This window comes from Homo sapiens, chromosome 13 (genome assembly GCF_000001405.40).
Source record: "Homo sapiens chromosome 13, GRCh38.p14 Primary Assembly".
In the NCBI taxonomy this organism is placed as follows: Eukaryota; Metazoa; Chordata; class Mammalia; order Primates; family Hominidae; genus Homo; species Homo sapiens.
Window position 1 is genome coordinate 76,457,691 of NC_000013.11, and position 24,620 is coordinate 76,482,310.

The window sequence follows — 24,620 nt, forward strand, 5'->3', positions numbered from 1 at the left end:
GAATTGCTTGAACCTGGGAGGTGGAGGTTGCAGTGAGCCGAGATCGCGCCATTGCACTCTAGCCTGGAAAACATAGTAAGACTCCATCCCCACCCCCCACCAAAAAAAAAAAGAAAAAAAGAAATCATTCTAACTCCAAAAAGAAGACCAAAACTCAGAAAAAGACACCACCATTCATACACAGTAACTCAAAATAAGAGAGAAAATGCACGGGGCAGAAAAACTTAAAAACTAAAATTATTATCCTTAGAAAAATAATGAAAAATATTGAATTCATGAAATAAAACCATGGTACCATTTACAAAAATAGTTAAACAGTATGGGAAAAATAAATATAATAGATGAAAGTTTAAAAATTTTTCAAAAGTGAGAAGATAAAGAACCTACAATATAGGATAAAAAGATAAAGAGATCAACAATAGGAGGGAACAGACTAATTTATCCTGAATGTTGTCTGAATTTGCTACCACATACTGGTAACATTTTCAGTACCCCACTTTTGTATATCCTTGGACTTTCAGAATCCTAGATCATGTCAAAGAAAACAGATAGACTGGCAGTATCTTGAGACCATTGAGTCACATGTGAAACAGGCTGTTCAAAAAGCCACCTTTTGATTTAACATGGGTCTCAAGCATTACACTGCCCTCTCCAATAGGAAGCCCCCTCTAATCAAAATGCAGTCATCACTAGATTGCATTTTCTGGAGAATTGGGCTACATCAGCTTATCGCTGAAACCACTGGTCTTTGCCATCCATCCCATCCTAATGAACTCTTGGAACCTTAGGATTTTCATTGGCCTCCCTTAGAGAGTCGGATACAGAGACATTCTAGCACTTAGGCATCTCCATGACCATGTTAGAAGCAGAATTATATAGATACTATATTTCAACCAGGAAAGGGTGAAAAATACTCCAAGACAAGGAAAGTAGAAGTTACTTACTAGTGGTTCTGTTTCAGAGGTAAGGAAAATGTAGGTGGTACGCTGTAACACTTCTTATTTATTAACCAGTTGGTCATTTCCTATTTCTAAGTGTCAAGCCCAGAAGAATAATGCATCCCTAACACAGTTCAGATCTCCTCTCTGAGGAACAGGCATATTCGTATAGCTCCCACTCAGCATCTTTCTGAAGACAGCTAGACATACACACTTTCATGGTTTATTCCTTTGACTTCTATGCTATATTAACCATTCTGCTTTTAAATTATTTATTATTACTAAAGATTAAATACATTCAAGCTGGTCTTAATTAAGGAAATATAATTCATAGGAGGTAACTTTATTTCCCTCACTTCTAAATTGTTGGAGAAGCCACCTACATATATAAGTGTAGTCCTATTTAGCATAATATTATGCTAAGTTGTTCTCTGGTTTAAAGTACTATGATATCTTTAGAGGTTTCATTAAATATATCTTTTCATCACTCTTAAAAGATTCCAAAATAAAAAATAGCATGATACAATGCCTTTTAAATAAAAGAATGTATAAGGTTTTAATACTTATGGAATTTTTACTAATGAGAAGGGGAAAGACATCCAGGAATGTTTGTATGTCAGAAAGGTAGTGAAAGTATTTTCTTTTCTATTTCTTTTTTTTTTTTTTAAGTTTCTTTTTTTTTTATTATACTTTAAGTTTTAGGGTACATGTGCACATTGTGCAGGTTAGTTATTAAATTGTAAAATTGAGGCTGTATTGACTTTTCCATGGCATGAAACTTGCAAAAGCTAGGGCTTTATTTTAATCAATTGATCATAGCCCCCACAGTTAAATAAAATATTTAAAATATCAAGAATCATAATATAAATAAAATGGACAGTTTTGCAATCCCAACATACATTTCTTAAAAAATACAAACCTAATCTTTTGCTAAGTGGACTTTTCCATATACTTTCTTTTGAGAAAAACTTGAAAATTTTTCATAACTTGTTTTTTTCCCTAGTTCATTTCTGTGCCTTATTTCAGCAATTCCTCTGAAAATCAGAAACTTGGCATTGTTCTTTGTGTTTCTGAAAAGAATCCTCCCTCCCACAATTGTTCTTTGGTGAGAAATGCTGATTATGATTTCGCTAAAGAAGTTTTATTAAATGTATCTTTTCATAGCTTTTAAAAGATTCCAAATAAAAATAACATGATTTGATACAGTAATTTTAAAATAAGGGCATTTAGAAAGTTTTACTCCCAGGAAAGAGGAAGGCCATTTTTTAAAGATTGTTAAGCACTTGCCAGCCATGTTATCATTTTCCACTTGGAGAACATCAACCACGGTAAGGCCAGATCTTCCCCGAACCTTTCTGTCTGCAAACCATTAATCTGCCTGGCCTCTTATTTATTTAGTTCACTTTGCAGACTGGAATAATTCCCTCTGCTTAAAGAGCAGTACAAATTTTTTCATCCGCCAAAAGCCTAGGACTGTCTTCTTTAAGACTCCGCCCAGTTTTATGAGACTTTAACCATTGCAAGTGCCAGAATTTAAAGCCCATCAGCCAAACTATAACTTATACCTTTGTCTCAAAAGGATTGTTTTGATCTTCTGACTGGAAATTTTAATACTTTGAGATATATGTGGTTACATGCATATATATTGTCATACTCAAACTAAACTAGAAATAACCTAATGTCCAAAGATAGAGAACTGCTTATAGCAATTGTGTTACATTCATATGTAATGAGGCATTCTCAGCCATTTGCATAATGCTAAAAATGAGTATTAAATGAAAGCGAAAGACGTATAGAATATGGAGTTAAATTTAAATATATGCAAGTATGAAAGCTGTGTGTGAACGTGAAAAGAGGTGAATACGGTGAATGTGGTGGATATGAATGTGCATGCATAGTGTGTATATCAGGAAAAAAAACACAAGGGATTCAACATTAAATTTAAAAAGTTAAAAGTGGTGAAGATAAATTTTCTGCTATTCTTCCTATATGATATGTTTTCTAATGTTTTACAGTGAGTGAGTGTATATGGCATTGTAATAAAATTTTTAAAAGTAATTTATAACCAACAGGTTCTGTATGTTTTCATTAGAGGTTTGCTGTTTGTTTATTTTGTCTTAGGATAAAAATGGAGTACTTTCTGTCTGGAGAGTTTGATGAAGACTTGTCTAAAATCAGAAGAAGTAGGGGGCAAACTATTGCAGATCCTGAAGGAAAAGCCTCAATCCACATAGATTTACTCCTTGCTCTGAATTTCCAAGCTGAGAAGAGTTCAACCACACCGACTAGAAAGCATTCAGTCTGGTGTTCATTCCATCCTCTGTTACAACTGCCATCTCACTTTCAGTTAGGGGAAACTGCTAACTCAGATTAACATTCAAACAGAAAAACAGGATAATAGAACTTAAAAGAGAGAGAAAAAGAAAGAGAGAGAGAGAGCTCTACTGCTGTAAATTGGCTCTCTATCCTCCAGTCTTCTGGAGGCACAGTCTTCTCCCTAACAAATGACACCAAGTTGTTCCTCCCTTATACTAGCCCCCTTATCTCCCAGACGTCAATGAATGTTTATGATGCACATGCCATGGTGTGTGGGTTCAAGTGCAACCCTTCCACTCCTGCACCAGAGTCCAAGTTCAAAATATCAAGGTCTCCGAGTACCACACTCTGCTCACATTACTCTGCTCACATTAGAATCACCTCAGTGCCAAACCCAGTGCTTGATAGCACACCTACTTGTATCACCACACTCAGATCTTTATAACCTCCTTTGAGCATGTCAGATGTCTTACTTTTCCCAAAGATGTTATTTGTTTTTTATAGATGTTCAGCAATTCTGTTAAAGACAGGACAGATAGACATGAATAAATATGTGTAAGCTGGTATAAGCATTCCTCCTCCTAAGCTAAAAATGGGGACTCTTATTTATATGTATTTGAGGGTTGGAAGTTGCACAGTGAATGATATTATTTTCTCCGGCACATGTTAGGACTAACTGAAAAAAGCCAGGAGAGTGGAGGTAAAGACATTTTGGAGGATGTGGGTAGCCACAAAAGACATCTTCATAAATCACTCCAAAGCTAGGTAGACTTACTAAAGGCCCAGCAGAGCAGCCACATCACAGGAAAATCCAAGAGGTTTAATAAACCAGTTTTACTAGCAGAGAACTTTATGCTGAAGTCCTCTAAATCAATGATTCTCAAACTTCACTTTGCTTAAGAACACCTGGAGAGCTTATTCAAAAATCAAATTATCAGGTTTCTACAGATAAGTGGCCTGGGTAGAACCAGTTATTTGCACATTTTCAGATTTGGCTCTATGTTTTATCAGGGAACAGAATTGTTACAATAAGGTACCAAACACTGCAGCTGAACAAATGGCCTTCTCTTTCTTTATTTGGGAAGGTTGCCTTTTCAAAGAGCAAAGCATGTGCAAAATTCAAATATGCAATTTGTAAAAATCAGCTAGTCATTACTAGCTGTTGGAGATGAATATGGCTAGCCAGTCGAGTTCATACTGCCTCTCAAAGGGCTTTATTATAACAAGTGGCAGAACACACTACTTGGCTGGAAAAGGACAGCATCTGCATCGGGACATCCTGGGAGCACAGATGTGTGCTTTGGCTTGCGAAACACTGACTATACATCAGATGTTTTTCTATTATGTGGCCATCGTGAGAATGCTATAAGCCAGCCATACAGCTGACTGGGTGTTTAGCTTTAGGAAATTGATTCTTCAACCTGAAAAGTTAACCATCTTATTTAAGAAACATGAGTGATGCTAGAGTAAAATCTTAATTTCCTCAAGCTTTCCAAATGAAAAAGGTAATTATTTTAAGACCACTTCTTCCATTCCCCCATATACATGCAAATGTTTTGGAAAAGAACCTAATGCTGGCAGGGACTAAGCTAAGGGTCACTGATAAATGGCAGTGAAGAGTTCTCCCACCCTCAGCTCCCAGGGGACACATTTGGTGCCGGTGGAGGATGCAATTTTAATGTTATTGCATTACTTCCAGATCCTTTTCCTCGCCTACCAGCTAATGAGAAAAAGTTACTGGAATATGAAAATTTATTGTCAAAGTAAAAACTTGCCTTTGTTAAAAGCAAAATGTTGTAAATGAAAGATGAAGTCTTGTCATTTTTTGCAGGCAAAAGGAGGAAACTGTGTCAAATTCCTACTTTGTACCAGACATGGCTACAGATCCACTGAGAAGAGTGAGGAGTTAAATATTCCAGGTATTCATTGAGAAAATGTATTACTCTCATTGTAACAATGGAGCAATTTGCTGATTATTTTTTCCTATAGACATTAGTCATGCCATAGTGACTAACCTTTAAATTTTCTGGCAAATGTTTCTCTTTATAATTGTTCCTATTAAAGATCAAATGCTGGCTAATTTCAATAGCAGGAAAGAGCAATTAGAAAATTAAGGAGCCTTTCTCTTCATACTTCCATTTCAGAAGCTCTGTGTTAGCTTAAGTAATGTTTTATGCATTGAACAGAGCTATTAGCAAATGGCTTTATTTTACGAAAGACAAGAGTATGTCTAAGGTGCCAACACATTTGTGAAATCGAATTCCAAGTTGCATTAATTAATGTCTATTAATAAGGTATAAATTCTCAGTTAAATACTTATTTGGTGGTGCAAAAATAATTATTAATTTAGTCCTTGTCAAGGGTCTTTTGGTTATGAGTAGAAGAAATCCACTACAACTAGCAGAGGCAAAATGGGGGGAGTTTACTGGACAATGACAGGCTGATCTTCCATACTATTCCCTGTGTTGGCTGGTTTTCTCTGCTGCTATGTGTGTTTGGGTGCATGATACCACCCCTTCCTGCAACATACCCTCTGAGTTCTAACATCAACCTCAGGTTGTAACATTTGTGAGTCATAAATCCGTTTTAACAGGAATGACAAGCATATGAGTATACCTTGGGTCAACTGTCTACCTCATAGTCCAATCAGGACTTGATTTAAAAATGCTACAGTTTCTCTGGAAAGAGAACTGGACACAGTAGTAGACACTTGAGCAGTCGCCAAAGCTGTCACTAACTGGTACTTCAGACCATGTGCCACTCAGCCTCACTGCTTTACCATAATCTCACCTGCAGAGTCCACAGGTGAGGATAGGTCATTTCTAACTTCCCTTAAATGACATTAATCATTTAAGAGAACATCTTCCAGGCCAATGATAAAGAACATTACATCTGCGTGTTATGAGATTTCAAAGAAGGCAGATTCCATTGTTAACTTAAAAAGAAAAAAAAAAACCTGAGAAGACCAAAGGATAATCAACATAATGAATCATTTCATTATAACAAAATATTTAATTATATTTCTATTGAAGAAAATAATATTAGTTAGCATCTGTTGTGCCCTATTAATAGCCAGGCATTGTACTAGGCATTAAAATCCATTAGCTAATTTAATTCTCACATGTATATAAGTTTGATATTATTACCCTTATTTGGAGATAAACTTACAATTGAGTTAAATAATGAACTAAAAGTCAAGTGCTCTGAACAAGCACATTTGAGAATCAACTCTGACTATGAAACTTTTGCCACAAGATGCTAGCCTTCTGGGCATTCATCTGACATGAGTATGCTTCTATCCAGTGCTTATGTGGGATCCTGGGTAAGGAAGATGCAAATTTGATGCCAAATGGATAATCATATTCTACCCCAGTTATCCTGACGAACTACCACTCACTCATGGATCTGACTCTATCATCCATTACTACCCTCCCAGGGCATACACAGAGGGAGAAAGCAAAAAGTAAATGCAGGGATAAACTAAGATGCTTTGGGTTTGTGAGACACAAGTGAACAGATGACAGCCTTCAAAACAGTCATCCAAAATGTTATAGGGAATCATTTCACTTCTTGTTTACCTATAATTTTATTCTACTTTTTCATAAAATTATAGATACCAGTATATTACATGCTGATATGGTTTGGCTGTGCCCCTACCCAACTTTTATCTTGAATTGTAGCTCCCATAATTCCCACACGTTGTGGGAGGGACCCGGTAGGAGGTAACTGAATCATGGGGGTGGGTCTGTCCCATGCTGTTCTCCTGATAGTGAATAACTCTCACCAGATGTGGTGGTTTCATAAAGGGAAGTTCCTGTGCACAAGCTCTTGCCTGCCACCATGTAAGATGTAACTTTGCTCTTCCTTCATCTTCTGCCATGATTTTGAGGCCTCCCCAGCCATGTGGAACTGTGAGTCCATTAAACCTTTTTCCCTTATAAGTTACCCAGTCTCAGGTATGCCTTTACTAGCAGTGTGAAAATGGACTAATATTCATGCCTACATACTAAAGAGCCATTTAATTCAGACTGATCCCAGGATAGCCTGTTGATATGGTTTGGATGTTTGTCCTCTCCACATGGCACGTTGAAATGTTGGAGGTGGGGCCTAGCGGGAGGTGTTTGGGTCCTGGGGGTGGAACCCTTATGAATAGCTTGGTGATAAGTAAGTTCTCCCTCTATTCACTCACATGAGAGCTGGTTGTTTTAAAGAGCCTTGCAACTCCTCTTCTCTCTCTTGCACCTTCTTACTCCATGTGACATGCCTGCACCTCCTTCACCTTAGGCCATGAGTAGAAGCTTCCTGAGGTCTCATCAGAAGCCGAGTAGATGTTGGTGCCATGCTTGTATAGCCAGTGAAACCGTGAGACAAATAAATCTCTTTTCTGCAAAAATTACCCAGCCTCAGATATTTTTATAGCAATGCAAAATGGACTAACACACCTATCTAGCAAGTCAAAGGAAAAGCAGCACAGAATCTTGATAGTCCTCTGAATAGATAACCTAGATGACTAGTCCTTGAATTAATGAGAAATGGCAATGCTTATTGGGTTTATTTTTGAATCATCATTAATGGGGGAAGGAAAAACTTAATTCAATATCCCAAGCATTCATAGAACACTAACTACTAATATATAATGCACATTATATGCATCTATCAAATACTGCCTTAGATAGTATCATTGATAAAAAGGAATTTATCCAGTTTATAATATAAGACTGAGAACATAAATAGGCATAAGGCCACAGAGAAGCAAACATTAAGACTAAAAAAGGACAAGAAATAGACTGAAGGAATATAATAATCCAAAATCGATCATCATCTTCATATGTTTCATTTTGTTTGCTGCTATGAAGATCTTTGTCATTGTCATTATTCATTCAATAAATATCTATTAATATGTACCAGAAAATGTTCTAGGTCTGGGAATCCAGGGGTAAAAACAATTAGAAGTGGCTGCTTTCTTCATAGAACTAATATGTCATTTTCTTTATTTGTTATCAAATCCATGGAGATGCCTGATTGATTTAAAATACACATTATGTGCAGCTGATCTTCATAGATGTGTCTCTCTTGCCTTTGTTTGGTGTCTGTTGTACTTCCTGTGCCTCATTATTTATCAAGAAACCATTAAAACTGCACAGTGGAAAATAAAAGATAAAAAGGAGGAAGAGTTCAATGAAAAAAGAAAAAGCCAAGTGTTCCCATCCATTCTCTGTCTGTCTCCCTCTGGATTTATAAATGTTTATTTTGCACTTTCTGTGTCAGGCTTAAGATCACTCTGAGTTACCACAGGAGTTACGTCCAGATGCAGGAAATGGTGCTGTCAGCCTGAAGTCAGTGGTGCTTCCCTTAGCTGTGAAGTATTATAGGAATATGTGTGCTTTCCATCCCATCTAGGACTAGTCTTCACAGTAAGCTGTCATTTTTCCAACAGAATTTCAAGCTATTCTTCTTGAATGCAATAATAACTAAAGACTACAAACCACACACAGGGAAGTATAGATACCTATTATCTGTTAGTCCATCACTACACACCTAGTGCCTGATAGGGTGCATTGTAAACAGAAAGTACTCAAAGGAAATAATAAAAATGGATCCGGAGTTTATCTATATACAACCACTGAAGGATCACTTACTGACCTCCCACTATGAGGTTAGTTCTATCAACTTCTCCAATTTCAATTCCTTTTTCCATCCCATTTCTGTCCTTTTGCCTGTTTCCCAAGTCTGTTTTATGTTCCAAGACTCATAATGTACAAGTTAAGCTACTAGCTGAATTCTTGTCCCTTTACTGTTTCCATCTGGTTCCCATCCTTTATTTTGATTTTTGTATTGTTGTTTGCCATTTTGTTTTTGTTTTTTGCTCTCCGTAAAGTCTCTGTATTCTGCTAGGATTCCTTTAATTTATTACTCTCTTTTTTTTTTAAGTGATATCTCCTTTCAACCCATCAGCAATTACGTGTTTAAAGTTAAACCTATACCCATATGCAATATACACAGTATGTTATCTCATATGTACGATCTACCTGGGATCCACAATCTGCTGTCTTCCAGACATACACCAGGTAGCATCTCTGCACAATAGTCCTGTAGTTAGAAACGAGCATTAAAGGGTATTTCTTCCCAGAGGAGCAAAAACATCTAATGAATGCTGGATGGCAATAATAAATAGGCTTAAATGGGAAAATAGGTCAACTCAGGAATACTTTGCCTCGAATAACAATAGAAATAACTAAAATGGTTTTTCTTCTACAAATTGCATTGTGTGGTTTTCCCCTTTACTCTCTTAGTAGTAAAGATTATTTTCTCCTGAATGCAATCATTTGTAAATACCAAGAAACCTAAAAATACATTTGTTTGTAACAGGAATTTCTTAAAATACTCGAAATTAGATTTTAAGAGTTGTCCATTGGCTTTATTTCCAAGACCAAATTTCTGAGTCAAATTCTTTAACTTATTTTATACGTAAAGATTTCAGTATGTACTCCAAATAATTGAAATTTTATGTTTTAAACAGTATAACACCTGAATAAAATGAATTCTTTAACATTATGGAATATGCTGTCATTGTTTACATTTTGTAAAGTATAAGTGCTGTGCAACTTTGTTTACAGTTTATTTTATCAGAATCTAAATAAGGTCTATATATTAAAATTGGCTGATTCATCTCTTAAATCTCTTTTAATCTAGAGGCTCTTCCCTGACCCCATTCTAACATTTTTACAGAGAAAAAATGGATCATTCATTTCATAACATTTTCCCCACTGTTTGGAGTTTGCTAATTGCATACTATGGAAAAATATTACACTTTAAGTTTTAATTATTTTTTAGAAAATAATTTCTTGAGTCAGATATCTATATGCAATCTCTTTAAAATTATAATCCCCAAATCTATGTTCTGTACAGCCATCTTAATGTAACATTTCTAAAAACTTATTTAGTAAACCATTTCATTATTGGATTAAATATATTCATGTGGCAAAACATTTAGCATTTCCATTAGAATCCTTTGTTCTCTTTTGAACATGTAAAGAAGGAAACACTATTTGTGTGCCACAGTCTTATTCCACACCTCAAACTTTCTTGCTACTCTGCCTTTGCATATTGACATAGCATTTGAAAGACAAAATGTGGGTCATAAGTTAAAATACAAGTTGAAATGCGATAAGGTCTTTTTCACTTACAAAATACTGCTTTGTCCCAGACCACCTCCTTTACCCACTTGTCCTAAAAATATAAGTCTCGTCTTTACTATTTTCCACTGAGTATATCCTAACCAAATCCTTGTGGCTCCCCATCTGCAAGTACTCATGACTTTAACTAGAGTTGAGTCTGTGTCTTTAAAGGCAAAATTTAATTATATATTTATGGAGTATTTTTATCCAGACCTCAAAATTATTTCTCTGGTGCACCAAATGTTTTTAAGGAAAATGCAATTAAAGTCTACCAAAACTTGGCTTTTGTATGTGCATAAGTTAACTGTGGTAGGCACCAGAGACACTAAAATTCTTTATTCAGCAAGGGACCAATCTGTATAGATAAAACACCTTCTAGGCATGAAACCTGATTTCAATTGTTGGTTGAATCCACCCACTTTCCTTTGGCAACACATTACCTGGTACTTTTGGACTCTAGATTTTATAAACTTATGGCTAGTTAAAGATGAATTAACTCACATTATGTACTTTATTTAAGTTAAAGATAGAATGTTGTTCTAATGTCAACTTTAATGTCTAAATAAGGTCAGCAAACTCGTGGCAGGATTTTCTTTATAATTTGTCTCTGCTTCATCCAATGCATCTCCTCCATGCTGTAAGCCACGGTAGATGCCCCATGTCTGTAACATCTTATAATAAATATACCTTTTATTTGCATCAGAATTCACACACTAATTGCAGAAAAGTTTCAGGTTCATTGCAATTGCTCTGGCCCGAAGGAGTCATCTTTGATGGTTTTCGGTTGTGTTTGCTGCTTCAGTTTATGGCTCCCATGGCAATCAGTGCTGCTCTCCTCCTGCACATGCATTATCAAATATGCCTTTTGCAGCTGCTTGGGATGGTCTTAGAAGAGTAGAAGGAGGCAGGGGTGCCAATTCCTTTCAATGTTTGTAGACAAAGAAGAACTTCCTGGCTAAGTTCTACATCAGGATGCATGCCTCTGATCTTTAAGGCAAATGAGACAAAAACCTAACCATAATTTAATAGAGAAGCATGGGTATTATCCCAGCCTGCACAGAAACCATGTTCAGACTAAATAACCCACTAATTGCTTATGCTCAGTATGGAGTCAACCCCACATAAACGATTTACAGAATCCACTATCAACTTTGCATTGGCAACAAAGCAACCTCTAAAACAACAACAACCAAAGCTGGCAACTGGCAAGTGCTGACTAGGGTGAGTTAGAACAATGTGGGAATGGTCACTTCTGGTACAGGCTGGATAAAAGGAGCAGGAACAGATGAGCAATTTAAACTTCCACGTATTTCATCCAAGTTAGTAGCAAAACATGGCAGTCTCATTGGCCCCTGCAAAATCCCAACTCTATTTGTCAAAATCCTGGAAGTTCTGAAGTTTACCCAAAGAAAGAGAAGGAAGCTAGCAGCCTGTTAATTGGTTTGGGTTTTCAATTCACAAGGCAGCAGGTAATATTCACCCAACATCTTCCACTTTATATATCTTGAATGCATACTGGCTGCTCTTCTTATGAACTGCCACAGTGCCTAAGATTAAGCTTCTTGTTGCATTTTACGACTATCAAGAAGAAACAGTAGAATTGTCTGGATGCTCTGCGCTCATGAAGGAAACTACTCATTATCCTTTTTTTTTTTTTCTGAGATGGAGTCTTGCTCTAATGCTGGGCTGGAGTGCAATGGCAATGGGGCGATCTTGGCTCACTGCAACCTCTGCCTTCCAGGTTCCAGAAATTCTCCTGCCTCAGCCTCCTGAGTAGGTGGGGCTACAGGTGCCTGCCGCCACACTCAGCTAATTTTTGTATTTTTTTAGTAGAGACGGGATTTCACAATGTTGGCCAGGCTGGTCTCAAACTCCTGACCTCAGGGGATCCGCCTGTCTCAGCCTCCCAAACTGCTGGGATTACAGGCATGAGCCACCGTGCCCGGCCTCATTATCCATTTCTTTTTGCCTGCTAAGCCAACATGTCTCACTCGCTATGTCTAACTTAGCCTCTGTTTGTCCCCTCTAATCTAGGAGAAATTCTTCTTGCTAACCTATTATCTATATAATCTTTTAAAAAATATTTACTTTAATTATGGATATATAATGGTGGTATATATTTATTACATAATATTAATCTGCCTTAGCATTAAATTAGATTATTAGATTACAAAGAAAACAGAAATCTGAAGAACATTACTATTAGTCCAATGCCATGTACCAAGTAAATCCTTAAAAAACACAACTGGACAATGAAAGGTAACCAAAGGTCTTTGTGATCCATGCCATACCAGACAGCACAGAGAACATGAAAGCTCTGAACTCAGGGGCATTTGACAATTTACTTCTGTTTAACTCATCTATTTTTTAGGAGAGAAAGAGAAATAATGGGCAGGTGGCACATAAAAAAAATAAACAGTTCTCAACAAAGAAGATAGCTAAAAAAAGATGACCACAATCCCAAGGAACACCAAAATGAGAATGCAATGCACCCAGAAGAAAATACAGATATTTCCAGTGGGATTGAAGCAACAACCTGTTGCCATTATGTTTCTCTTTGCCCTGAAAGTTCAAATATTTGTGTTTCTCTGAGACTGCTGATAGAAATGCAGCTGATGAGACTCCTTCATTTAAGGCAAAAACTGGCAGCCCATTGAAGGTGTCAAGAGTTCACACTGCTTCCACATGAACCTCAAAAATCAGAGTCACAAATTATTAGGGCTGGAAGACATTTGGAATCACTGAATAAAACTCCTTATATCACAGTCATTTATCCAGGGAAGGTAAGTGACTTGTCCAGCTATTTGGCAAAAGAGACAAGTCTCACACAGATAGCCAGACCCTTAGGTCAGTCCTTTCACAGGCTGATGATGGTACATTCTTTTTAAAATCACTCACACATGTGACCATAAGACGACGACAACAACAACAACAAATGAAATAAAACCCAGGACACTAAGGGAAAACTGAAAAATGTGTATTCGGTGATGATCCAATTCCAACAAAACACATCCATACCTCACTCTTGATGTGTGGATAGACTGATCTTAGGACCATACATGCAATATTGTATCTGGTTTGAACAAACTTCTAAGCATTCCTCAGTGCCTCCCGCAAAAAACTGCCTATCATCCTTCACAGCACGCTTGATCCTGCCTGCTGAACTCTTTTCCTATCTCCACATAACGTAGGGTGAGGACACATGTGTTCTGTTTTGTGTTTCTTCATAATATGTCATTTCTTCAGAAAACAAATTTGAGTATAAGAAAACACTTTAATCTCCTTAAATTAATGAATGTAGTTTGTAGAAGAACAAATTCATTTTTTCCTTTACCCAATTTGCATAGTAATGTCTGAGCACAAGCAGCAGCTCACAGATTTATACAAGGGCACTGAAAGAAAAAGAATAGGCTTTCCAACCATTATCTTCCAAAATCCTGCCCCCACACATTACCAAACAAAAATAGACCTAGTTTATCTAGAAACTTGAAAGCATGTACTATATCTGTCTACTTTATCCATCTCCATTACTACTATCACAGTCTAAATGACATCATCTAAAATCATGATTTTTTTCCTAATTGATCTTCTTGCTTTTACTTTTATTCCTTACCATCTGTTCATCATTGAACAGTTATATTCCTTTCTTTTAAACATAAATTGAACCTGTTTTTCCTGGATAAAACCCTCCAAAGTCTTTCCAACACGCTCAGAATAAAATTCAAATTCATTAACTTAGCTGGGAAAGGAGCTTGCAGTGCTCCAAAAAGAGTTAGAGGAACTGAATATCACAAAAACTCCTTTATTCTTGGAGTCTATCTTGGATCAAATGAAGCTTCTGAGCCCAGAAAACAAACCCTATTTTGTAAGTAATATTCCATAGAACATTAAACATTTCTGCGCTTACATCCCCTTTGCTGTCCCAGGCTTTATCCAGCTACTCTTTGACCACTCTAGATTCAATCTGCTCAAAGATACGCATATAAAGATATTTTCTTTTCCTTTTCTTTTTTTTTTTTTTTTTTTTTTGAGACAGAGTCTCGCTCTTTCACCCAGACTGGAGAGCAGTTGGTGCGATTTCAGCTTACTACAACCTCCCCCTCCCAGGTTCAAGCAATTCTCCAGCCTCAGCCTCCCAAGTAACTGGGATTACAGACATGCGCCACCACACCCAGCTAATTTTCTGTATTTTCAGTGGAGACGGGTTTTCACCATGTTAGCCAGGCTGGTCTCAAACTCCTGACCTCAATTGATCCACCTGCCTCGGCCTCCTCCTGAAGTGCTGGGATTACAGGTGTGAGCCACTGCCCCGTCCTATTTTCTTACTCTTCATCTTGGAAGACGAAAAGAAACAGTTACATACTCCTGAGTCCAGCATAATAAGAGGATGGTAATATACAAGGGACTCTACCTCAGAAAAGGAGGCGGGGGGCAGGTAGTATAACTGAGACAGAATCAAGACTTTGTGTTCTAACTACCATCAATGCTTTTAATGCAAAAATGAAAAACTTAACAAAGAGGGAACCAAAGAGGGAAGCATTTCTATATGTAAGTGAACACTGAAATCACTGATGTAAGTTAGAGGCATGAGAGCAGCTGCAGTTAGAGCCAGAACAAAAGAGCGTAAGCAGAACTCTTTGTGGGTCAACTTACAGCTGAGACGAGTCAGTAGTTATTCCTTATCAGTTAAAATAAGTCTGTTTTACTTTTCTTTCTGCCATGTAACTACAGAATATGAAACCCAATATCCCCAAATAAGCCCCTGAAAATCCCATCTATAGTCCATTACACTCAAACTGGCACAATTGTCCCATAGAACTGATATTTGCTGTGTTTGAATACACATAGATATTAACTCTCCTGGTCTTAAAGTGTGAAACTTGCATTGGTCTTATCTGAGTTCCTTCCTCAGGAAACTGGCCATCAGACCTCCCAGAAGGAGAAGTATGAAGGAGCTGATACTTACCAGGTCACTACATCTGGACAATGAGATCCCAGACCCCTCACCCATCATGATTGTCTAACGAACCACCTGCCTCCTGTTGACCAGCTTCTCTTGCTTAGCCCTCCTACACTTAGCTACATTCCTTCCCCTATTGTACTTGGTCAGAGAGATGGGTTTAAGATTGATCTCTCATCTTCTCGGCTGCAGTACCTAATTAAAGCCTTCTTCCCTGGCAATACTTATCATCTCAATGATTGGCTTTCTGTGCTGCAAGCAGCAGGACCTAGACCAAACTCTGGCACTTCAGCAGCAATTCCACAGTTCCCTAGGGTCAACCCATGGAAAAGTAGGCATTCTTCTTTGAGATTAATCGTTTTTTCTACCAACTGCAGAGAAACTCTTTCCTATCCTTCTCTTATTACCTGTTCTCATGCATGAAGATAACCAATAGTTTTGGAAACTAGACATGTTCTGGCCACTTCTTCAAAGATTATGATTTGATACTTATATGGTCCCAGAATTTTTTTAAAAAAACTTCCTGTTCCATTCTGATGATCACCCTCAGATGAACCACAACCCAGCAGAACTGGAGGGACAGTGCAAGGCTGTACCCACCTTAGCCAGTAGAGCCACTTCCATGTGTTGAGATCCTACAGCCTCTGCTGCCCCCTGGTGGTAACTACTAAACTTACCACACCCCTCTCTAGTTCAATGACATCAAGAAATATCTATTGAGGACCATGTCAAAAGTATGACATAAGAAACTGTGACATAATGCCATATAATATATTTCTTCATTCATGTTTTGGAAGTCAAGAAATATAAGTCATCCTCCTTGAAACAGCTCCAAATACCTAACTAAACACTTATATATGAAACTGCCACTAAAATTTTGATTCAAAATGCAGAGAAAGCAAAAACTAATCTGTTCTAATATAGGAAATTTAAAACAACAGCTATACAGAGAACCAATAATAAATACTGATAAAGTAAAATTGATTATTTTCTTATCAGTAATAGTATTTTTTCTCTTTTCAGAACAGATACTTTTTAATTTCTTAAATTCCTGTTGTAAAGTCTGTTTTGGTGCTTCTGACCAACCAAAAGTAAATATACTAGGGTCTGAAACAGAACTAAAAAGCATGGAATCTGGGCATTCTTTTTCAGATATTTAGTAAATGTCATCAGCCATTTCTTGTTGTTCATCAAACTGGTCACAAAAAACGAATCACAGATAAATTACAAATTTTTTTTCAAGCATCCCTGAAAATTGCCTCTAAATTGTCACTCTCAAATTCTAGAATTAGAGCACTATGACATATTTTCTAGCTTATCTAATATTTCTTTTCCTTTGACTGGGAGTCCACTAAAGAATCATTTTTGTCAGTGTGTGTCTCATTTAAAGATGTGTTTACTAATAAGATCATTTTCACTTTGTGGGCAGACATCCGCTTCCAATTCAATTTCTGGAAGCCAAGCAGAATTCTGAGCAACTCACAACTATTTGGCAGTTCTCCATCTTTGTTTCTGCTGGTAGAAACAGCCTTCTTAAATGTTCAACCCTTCCAAATGAATTAATAATATATTTAATTTATGTTCATGTCTAATCTAATGTTCTCAAACTGGGATATTTTCTTGTCAAAAACTTCCCCACAGCTGTTTTGTAGTCCAAGGTGTTTACTATATTATTTTTATGTGGCTGCATATCATTATAAACATAAAAACTACATTTTAATGTATCTAAATCTGTCTTTGATGCTCATCTGTCCTTTGATGCTCATAAATTGAATGTGCACTCAGGGACATGTGGGTGTCTTTTCACTATAATAAGCTGTGGTGAAATCTAAGGAGTTCTGATGGATAACCTTGGGCTACGAGGGGGTAATTTTGAGACATGAGTATCTCTAGGATGCTGGAAAGTTCAATATATTATCTTGAAATATATATCTTGAAAGTTCTAAAAGTTTTGGGGAATTTAAAAACTGCCCTACATACTTCTTAGATCTTTAGATCTATGACTGCTAAGAATGAAAATGTACGGAATGTGTAGAACATATAGAGACACCAAGAATAAATTACTTAGAATTAGAAGCCAGTGAATGAATGAACTGGCACTGACACAGACAAAAAGCGGCTGAGTTTCTGACTGTTTTGAGGTCAGTGCAAGTTTAGGATCAAATTCACCCAGGCACCAAATGGATTAACTGCTATTTTTATTTTCTGGATCTCAGTGTATTTTTAGGACTGAATTTTTCCTTCCTGAATGAATGACCTGCTAGCTCTTTCTGCCTAGAATGCTCTACCCTTTCACGGTCACACCTGACCCAACTATGAGTTCCTGTTCTGCCACCCACCTGATCAATCCCTAATTATTTCTGAAACAGCTGGGACACACCTCCTCTGTGATTTGTTCCTTAAGCTGAGCCTGTCAGTGATTGAATTTTGTATAATTTGATCTTTCTGGACTAGAAAATGGTAGCTGTTCACTTTTCGATCATTCCAATTAGTCTAATGAGTAACTTGGTGGCACAGACTTTAATTTTTAAATCCTCAGCACCAGAAATTGTGCCTGACACATAAAGAGTGCTAAGAAATGATTGGTTGCATGAATATAGATAGCACACCATAAAGGCAAAGTCAATTTCCTCTGCACATAAAATTAAAGATTATTTCTACAAACTTTGAGCATTGTTGCAATAAGAAAATATGCCTCTTATTTGCTTTTACAAGTTTAATTCCGGGAGCAATTTTGTTTATGCAAATATTTGCCTCTATTGTCAAATTCCAGCTAAAACAATTTTTGTTATCTACGGTTGTTGCACAAAACTTCCAACTTCCAGTAGCAAAGTTAATTAAATAGAGTATTTTTTAAAAATTTGTAACAGGTTTAGCCTCGATCAATAGGTTTTGACCTATTGTTTTTACTAAACTTAATTCCCAGAACGTATCTCCTTAAGTGCAATGCTTTATATATGGTAAATGTTCAAACTTTTATTACGTATTTAAGTTTAAAGTAATAGGAAAGAATAACTTGAGTAAATTAGTTCCTTGCTACTTTACAGCAATTTTTGCCTCACTCCACTGATTCTCTATTAGATAAACTTCTTCACTACAAAATCTTATATACTTTTGATTGATGCCCATTCTGTAATGTTATCTACCCTCCAAGGTCCCTGGGAGACAGAGTATTGGAATCTAACATTCAAGTCGTGCTTGTCTGCCTAGAGGCTTGCATTCATCAAAGGAAGTAAGGACATAAAGTACATTAAAATAAACTCTACTACAGCACAAATTTCTATATCATACTATTCTACACATGATCTTGATTCTAATCTTCCTTTTTCTGGAAATTCAGAACACCTAAGCTAATGAAAAAATGAAAATTATAACACCAGGAGGGAAAGGGGCTCATAGGATATTTGTCAAAGGGCCATGCAGCTTTTATGATTAGAAAAGCATTTACCTCTGTAACAGTGAAGATTACATGAGACCACCATTTCATCTGTCAGTCAAACTCAGATTGGCTCTGTTTCAAACTTCTGTAGCTAACTCAAAATGGAATGGCCACTGTTCCCAAGCACCACCTGCCATAACTTGGTATTTTTCTGTGCTTAGTGAATCACATTTATTCTCCTGGATTTGGGAGAGTTGGGATAGAAAAACACAGGGACTAAGATTCCCCTGCACTGAGTTACATTAAAGAAAGTCCACCTATCACTGTGTTACTGCTGACGGTTCCTCTGGCTTTATCTATATTCCTGCTTCAAATTATTTTTAGCAAAAATTTAAATGATATTCAGAGGGTTGTTGGTAAAAGAAGATTAATATTGAATTGAAGTACATATTAGTGAGAATGGTTATGATGATGATGATGATGGATTCATGCTGCAATCCTGATTTGATTTGCTATAATTAGGCTACAATTTGGTCTATAGAGGACTAAAATCCTATTTGAAGCATAAGTGCATCCCAAATGTGGTTTATGGTTAAAAAACCTGACCATGTAGATAGCCAATTCCCACCCACTTATTGGGGTTACTTATTTGTTTTTGTTTGGCTTTATTTTTCTGTTTTGCTCCTTTCTCTCATTTTTGAAATTATTTCTCAGAGTCAGTACCAATTTCTTTGGTTTCTATTTACTAGGTAGTACTCATATATTTAAATATATTTACATACATTGTTATACATCTATATATATGAAAGAGAGAGATATCTATACAACTGCGAAGCAACTTCTGAACTAATTTAAGAACTAGAACATCACTAATTCTGTGTATACTACCTGACCCAAAGAAAATCAGCTTCCAAATACAGGCCTTTAATTTTGCAGTTTTTAAAAATGGTTTTACCATATGTATATAAACCTCTAAACTATATATTTCTATTGATTGAAATCTTTAGGAAATGATATTAAGCTTTACATTATCAAAGTAAAATTGCACCAGACAAGGTAACCAGGCAAAGATGACTTTTTTCAAGATGACCACAATAGGTTCACAAATACCGCAATATGGAATATAGAGTGAACTATGTTGAAACAAAAGGCAGGAGAGATTTTCAACACTGGGTCAAGTTGGTGCAAAGGTTCTGAAGGACATAAGCCTGGAGGTCACTAAATACAGTTAGGCCATCTATTTTTGCTAATTGGCATGAATTAAGGGAGAGTAGAAGTTAGGCTCCCACCCCTCCTCCCCCAGAGACTGAGAGATAACGGCCCTATCTTTTTTGATGATTACATTTCATAGAATAACTCCCAAATCCATGTGAAACACATTGCTATGTTGTAAAACTGGCAAGAGGCTGGGAGATTCACATCTTAAAGGGGCAGAGAAAGAATTTACAATTTCAAGTTTTCTAAAATAAACTCACTAAGAAAAGGGAGATCAGGGGCTTAGGTCGGGAAGAAACCTTTCTGAAGTTTAGTCAAACTGAAAGGAAATAGGCCATCTTGGTCAAAATATACTTCTAAATCCTTGTTTTCTCAGCGTTACATTTCAAAGAGATTTACCCAATGAGTATGAGGAACTGTAGGTCACTCAGATTCACCCCAGTATAATATTGCCTCACTTTAATAGACCACATTTTAATGCCCATTTTACTATAGGTGAATACTTGGATTTTTTTCTTTACTTTTTATTATACTTTAAGTTCTGGGGTACATGTGCAGAATGTGCAGGTTTTTTACCTAGGTATACAGGTGCCATGGTGGTTTGCTGCACCCATCAACCTGTCATCTTTTTCTTTTCTTTTTTCTTCTGTTCTTTTTCTTTTGACTCTACGAACAGGGTAAGTGTATTCATTTGCTAGGGCCACCAAAATAAAATGCTACAGACTGGTTGGCTTAAACGACAGAAATTTATTTTCCCATATTTTTTGGAGTCTGGAAGTCCAAGATCAAAATGTTGACAGATTGGGTTTCTCCTGAGCCCTATCTTCGCTGGCAGGCGGATGCCTTCTCAGTGTCTTCACATGGCCTTTCTCCATGTGTGAACAACTCTGGTGTCTCCCCGTGTCCTCATCCTCTCTTCTTAAACGGACACTGGTCAGATTGGCTAGGGCATTCCCCAATGAATCCATTTTAAATGAATTTCCTTTGGAAATCCTTACCTCCAAACATAGTCACATTCTGAGGTAGTCAGAGTTAGGGCTTCAAAATGTGAACTGTGGGGAGAGAGTTTAGTCCACAGCAGTATTTCTGTGCTCATGTTCAACATATTTTTGATGTTTTGCATGTTTTTACACATTCCTTCTAGTACACATAGAAATATTTCCTTGGGATGTCTACTTAGAACAAATATTTAGATTGTCCGGTACTCTTGCTTTTCATCAGCACTTAATATTGTCAGCATTTCCACTATTTCCCAATCAATACAAATTCTTTATATATTCTGGGAATTAATATAATTAATCAGTGATGTGTGCTACAGATGTCTTCTCCCAGTTTTGTTGCATATGTTCCACTTCCGTGATGTCTTAATGAAAAGGTGTTGTTTTTAATACAATACAATTTATCAGTATTTTCCTTTATGCCGTTTCTTTCTGTTTCATTCCTGTTGGAGTCCTAGTTAAGAAAATTATTTCCTACTTCAGTCATAAAAATTCACCCAAATATCTTCTTCAGATATTTTAAAGTTTTGCCCCTAATATTCCAGTCTTTAATCCACCTGGAATTTATTTTAGTATATGGTACGCGGCAGGAATCCAATTTTGTTTTTTTCCCATAGAGATAAACAAATATTCTGGCCCCATTTATTTTCTAGTCTACTCTTCCCTAAGTAGTTGCAATGCTATGTGTTATATATAATTTCTGTATATTCATGGGCTGCTCCTGGCCTATTAGGGACAATTGAATAGCATGTCTCTTGCAATATTTACTATAAAATACTATTACAGATGTACCCTGTTAGCAAAAAATACGGTAGACAAATCAATCTTAGATGCATGGAGTGGGAGTTCACAGTCTGTGCAAATGGAAAAGACATGGGTCTAACCACTTGGAAAATTGTTTGAGATTATCTTATAAGATTGAATATACTCCCTCTCTCTGACCCAGCAGTCCCATTCTGTTTTGTGTGCTCAGGATCAGAAGTTCCAGTGTGGTCCCCAGGAGTGTCAGCATCAATGTCACCTTGATGTTCAGCATTAATTGAATAGCATGTCTCTAGCTAATACTGTGGCTTTATAATGAGTCTTGGAATATGCAAGGGGATATTCCCACATTATTTTTCTTCTTTAGGAAACTCCTGTTTTTCAGCTTTTGCTATGCCAAATAAATTTTAGAATCTGTTTTTCAAGATGCAAAAATAAAATCTGTTGGGATTTTGATTGAAATTTCCCTGAACCAATAGAATCAATCTGTGGAGAATAAACAGTTTTATGATATGGGGGTTTTCTGTATGAGAAAATTGAATATTTCTCCATCTATTCAGCTTGCATAGGTAGTAAATAAAATTTTTGCATCATATATGTGTATATATGTATATGTATATATGTATATGTGTATATGTGTATATGTACATATATACACATATACGTATATGTGTATATGTACATATATACACATATATGTATATGTGTATATGTACATATATACACATATATGTATATGTGTATATGTACATATATACACATATATGTATATGTGTATATGTACATATATACACATATATGTATATGTGTACACACATATAAACATGTATATATACATATATACACGTGTATATATACATATATACGCATGTGTATATATACATGTATACGCATGTGTATATATACATGTGTGTATATGTGTATATATACATATATGTATGTGTATATGTGTATATATGTATGTGTATATGTGTGTATATATGCATGTATATATGTGCATATGTGTATATACACGCACATATGTGCATATGTGTATATACACATACATATGTGCATGTGTATATACACATACATATGTGCGTGCGTATACACATACATATGTGCATATGTGTATATACACATACATATGTGCATATGTGTATATACACATACATATGTGCATATGTGTATATACACATACATATGTGCATATGTGTATATACACATACATATGTGCATATGTGTATATACACATACATATGTGCATATGTGTATATACACATACATATGTGCATGTGTATATACACATACATATGTGCATGTGTATATACACATACATATGTGCATGTGTATATACACATACATATGTGCATATATACATACGTTATATATACATATGTGCATGTATGTGTATATATACACATATGTGTATATATGTATGTGTATATATACACATATGAACATATATGTATATGTATATATGAACATATATGTTCGTATATATATGAACATATATGTATATGTATATATGAACATATATATGTATATGTATATATGTATATATGAACATATATATGTTCGTATATATGAACATATATATGAACATATATATGAACATATATATGTTCATATATATGAACAACAAAGGCTTCTTTTACATTTAAAAAATTATTTAAAAAATTATTCTTGGTTACTCTATATTTCTATGTTAATATAGCTACACACATTTTTATTTTATATTTTCCTTTTGTTTTCATACATATCTTCTAACCATTAATTTTCAACTTTCTACATCTCGTTTTATATAATTGAAATAGATATATTTTATTCAAATTGGCATTTTTAACTGGCAAGTTTATTCTTCTTTAACTTAATGTGATTACTAATATATCAGAACTGATTACCATTTTCACTGTGCTTTGGAACTGTTCCATTTTTTATGCTTCTTCCATTTTCTTTATCTTTTCAATTAATTATATTTTAGTTTGTTCACCTCTGTTTTTCTTTCCTTTTTCTAAGCAATTCATAAGGTACATAACATATTCTAATTTTATAACTGGCTACTATTAAAATGCTGCCATGGGCACAAAACTGTAAATCAGTTTCTTTATCCTCTCACTGAATAATTAAAAGACTTTGACTAATTTAGCTCTGATAATGTTTCTGCCAATGATAATTTTAGCCTTAATTTTGCTTTTCTTTTAAAAATGAACACATCATTATTATTATGTTATGAAGACAGTGATTGGCTCTAATTATATGTATACATGTTTGTGTGATGTCCTCTCACATTGAATAGTGACTGACCAGTGTGGTCAACAGAACGTAGTATAAGCCATAGTGTGTGACTGCCAAGAATAGGTTATAACAACATTCTAACTTCTATCTTGGTGCTACTTGGATTACTGGTTCTGGAAAAGTCTGGCCACCACACTGTGAAAACATCCAAGCACTGTTAGGGAAAGTTAGTCCCAACACCAATTTCCAGCTGTGTGAGTGAGTCACCTAGAAAGTGGATCCTCTGGCCACATGTACACCTTTACCTGCCTGCAACCCCAGCTCGCATATGACTGCAACCTCATGAAAGACCCCAAGCCACAACCATCTGCCCAAGCCACTTCCAGATTCCTGCTGCAAAGAAACTGAGATAAGCAGTGGTTATTGTTGTTTTAATACCACTTTTTGAGCCAATTTATTACTCAGCATTAAATAGCTAATGCAACATATTTACCAGTTTCTTTTCTCACAATTCTTTTTTGCATCTTACCTGGCGGGTTATTTTTCTTCTTCTTGAAGAAAAACTTTTAACATGCCTTTAGTGAAGTTAGTGCTAAATGAATTTAGATTTTCTTTATATGAAAATATATTTCTTTCAACTCAGTTATGTTCTGTGAG

At 35.9% G+C, this 24,620-nt stretch overlaps 1 long non-coding RNA gene across 1 annotated transcript in view, besides 1 other annotated feature; it reads left to right on the forward strand.

The window, feature by feature from the left end:
• The first annotated feature begins 2,197 nt into the window (after window positions 1-2,197).
• The window catches only part of LOC105370263 (uncharacterized), a 65,817-nt gene continuing 43,394 nt past the window's right edge, over window positions 2,198-24,620 (forward strand). The window contains exons 1-2 of the long non-coding RNA XR_001749919.1: window positions 2,198-2,266; window positions 5,086-5,173. This is a non-coding gene — a long non-coding RNA (uncharacterized LOC105370263). The remainder of the gene's footprint in view (window positions 2,267-5,085; window positions 5,174-24,620) is intronic.
• Window positions 15,956-16,115: a silencer, noted in NCBI's record as "silent region_5409". NCBI's record gives its function as "represses an Ori minimal core promoter by ATAC-STARR-seq in GM12878 lymphoblastoid cells {active_cell/tissue: GM12878}" and the evidence as "EXISTENCE:reporter gene assay evidence [ECO:0000049][PMID:35858748]".